At 41.3% G+C, this 2,075-nt stretch overlaps 1 protein-coding gene across 1 annotated transcript; it reads right to left on the bottom strand.

Moving 5' to 3' along the window:
• Window positions 1–207: 207 nt before the first annotated feature.
• OR10H4 (olfactory receptor family 10 subfamily H member 4) lies at window positions 208–1,158 on the bottom strand. The gene has a single exon (NM_001004465.1). The coding sequence runs from the start codon at window positions 1,156–1,158 to the stop codon at window positions 208–210; it is 951 nt and encodes a 316-aa protein (NP_001004465.1).
• Window positions 1,159–2,075: the final 917 nt, after the last annotated feature.

Below are 2,075 nucleotides of genomic sequence, written 5' to 3'. Positions count from 1 at the left end.
AGAAAACACATTTCTAGGCACAGATAATGGGATAAAGGTCATCATAATGGCTCATAAAGAAAAGATTATGATCACTTGAGCTTAAGCAAAAAGGGAAGGGAAAACAATAGCTAGTATGTATCAAACACATATTTTCACATACCTGAACACTTACAACAGCCCTATGGAGATACACATTATTATATTTCATCACCACCAAACTGGCGCTCAGGAACTTGGAGGACAGAATTTTCTGTAAAAGTTTTTATTTATGGCATTCTTCAGCTCCTTGTTCCTTAGGCTGAAAATGATTGGGCTAAGGAAGGGGGTGAAGACAGTATAGGTGGTGGCCATCAAGGCGTCACTGTACATAGAATGGAGGCCCTTGGGCTTGAGGTAGATAAAGGAGGCAAAACTATAGTGCGTGACCACCACAGTGAGGTGGGATACACACGTAGAAAATGTCTTGTGCCGGCCTTCGGCAGAGGGAATCCTCAAGATGGCAGCCACAATGAAGACATAGGAGAGGATGATGAGGAATAAACAGCCTATCAGGGCTGTGACACACACCAGCATCACACCCATGATGACAGATGATGTCTTGTTTTCACAGGCCAACTTCAAGAGGGAAAGCACATGACAGAAAAAATGGTGGATCACATTAGACCCACAGAAAGTGAGGTGGAAAACTATCGTTGTCACCATCATCCCCATGACTGAGCCACCAGCCCAGGTACAGGCCACAAGATGGGCACAGTCACGGGGGCTCATGAGCACATTGTAACGCAGTGGGTGGCAGATGGCCACATAGCGATCATAGCCCATGACCAGGAGAAGGAAGGAGTGAGTGAAGCCAAACATGAAGGAGAAGAACATCTGGTTGGCACAAGCCACAAAGGTGATGGAATGATGGGTGGAAAGCAGATCAGCCAGCATGCGAGGGGTGATGGCAACAGTGAACAGAATCTCAGAGACGGAGAGGGTGCACAAGAAGAGGTACATGGGTGTGTGGAGTCTGTGTTCAATCCAGATTGTGGCCATGATGAGAAGGTTGCCCAGCAATGTGAACAGGAACATCAGGAGGTACAGCAGGAACAAGATGGGCAGGAGGTGCTGGGGGAAGGCTGAGAAGCCAAAGAGGTTAAATTCAGATATGATGCTATAGTTCTGACTAGGCATGGATACTGTATCTGGTGAGATCAGAAACAAAATTAAGTGACAGTGGTTAAAACATAGACTCTATCACAGACCAAATGGCAACTCAACAGCTCTATGCTATTCAACAACCAGCAGAATTTTCTGGGTCTCACTTTCCTCATCTGTAAAATGGAATAAATAATAATAGTTCTTAACATTCAGCAATGTGACAAAGATCAAATGAGATCACTATATTAGATGATCAAGTCAGATTTTGGCTACTAATTGGGTTTCTATTAACACTGACTAACATAAAGAAAAGGTTCAATACTTGGAGCCATTAGAGACCAGCATAGATGATCAGGGTCAGGTTCTCTTGATAATGTGCCAGTTCTAGAAAACATGTATTTTGATCTTGGGGTTTAAATCTTTTTTCCCTGGGAGTCTTTGTCTTTTAGTTGCTTATTTAACCCATTTACATTTATTTTAATACTGTTTTATTGGTACTCATTTATGCCATCTAATTTCAAATGGTGCATTTACTATTCTAAAAAAATTGAACAGAAAATTTGAAAAGAAATGGCTGGATACATACATGTCAGACAAATATGCACCAAATAAAAGCTGAGGTTGCAATCTTAATAATAATAAAAGGTGGAATCTAAGGAAACAGTGATCACAATGTCTTTAATACCATATGCCACTGCAGGGAACCAGAGTTCCTTGAGACATGGCAAATCTGTGATCTGGACATGGAAGAAAGCCTTGGATATCTTGTACCAGTGTGAAATGAAACCTTCACTAAGTAATGGGATAATATTAAAAGACTGCAAGTACTAGATTGAAAAGATGCCCACTAGTCAAAAAGAATAATCATTGTACAGAAGATGGAGGAATAAGCTAAATGACAATGTGAGGAAGCTTTCAGAAAAATTCAGAAGGTGGATAATTCCACAGAA

The sequence above is a fragment of the Homo sapiens genome, chromosome 19 (assembly GCF_000001405.40).
Source record: "Homo sapiens chromosome 19, GRCh38.p14 Primary Assembly".
Taxonomy (NCBI): domain Eukaryota; kingdom Metazoa; phylum Chordata; class Mammalia; order Primates; family Hominidae; genus Homo; species Homo sapiens.
The sequence above is the reverse complement of the archived record's forward strand: the minus strand, read 5'-3'. Positions and strand labels throughout refer to the sequence as shown.

Coding starts and splice junctions, on each gene's coding strand:
- OR10H4 (NM_001004465.1), bottom strand. CDS start 1,158: ATGCCTAGTCAGAACTATAGCATCATATCTGAATTTAACCTCTTTGGC.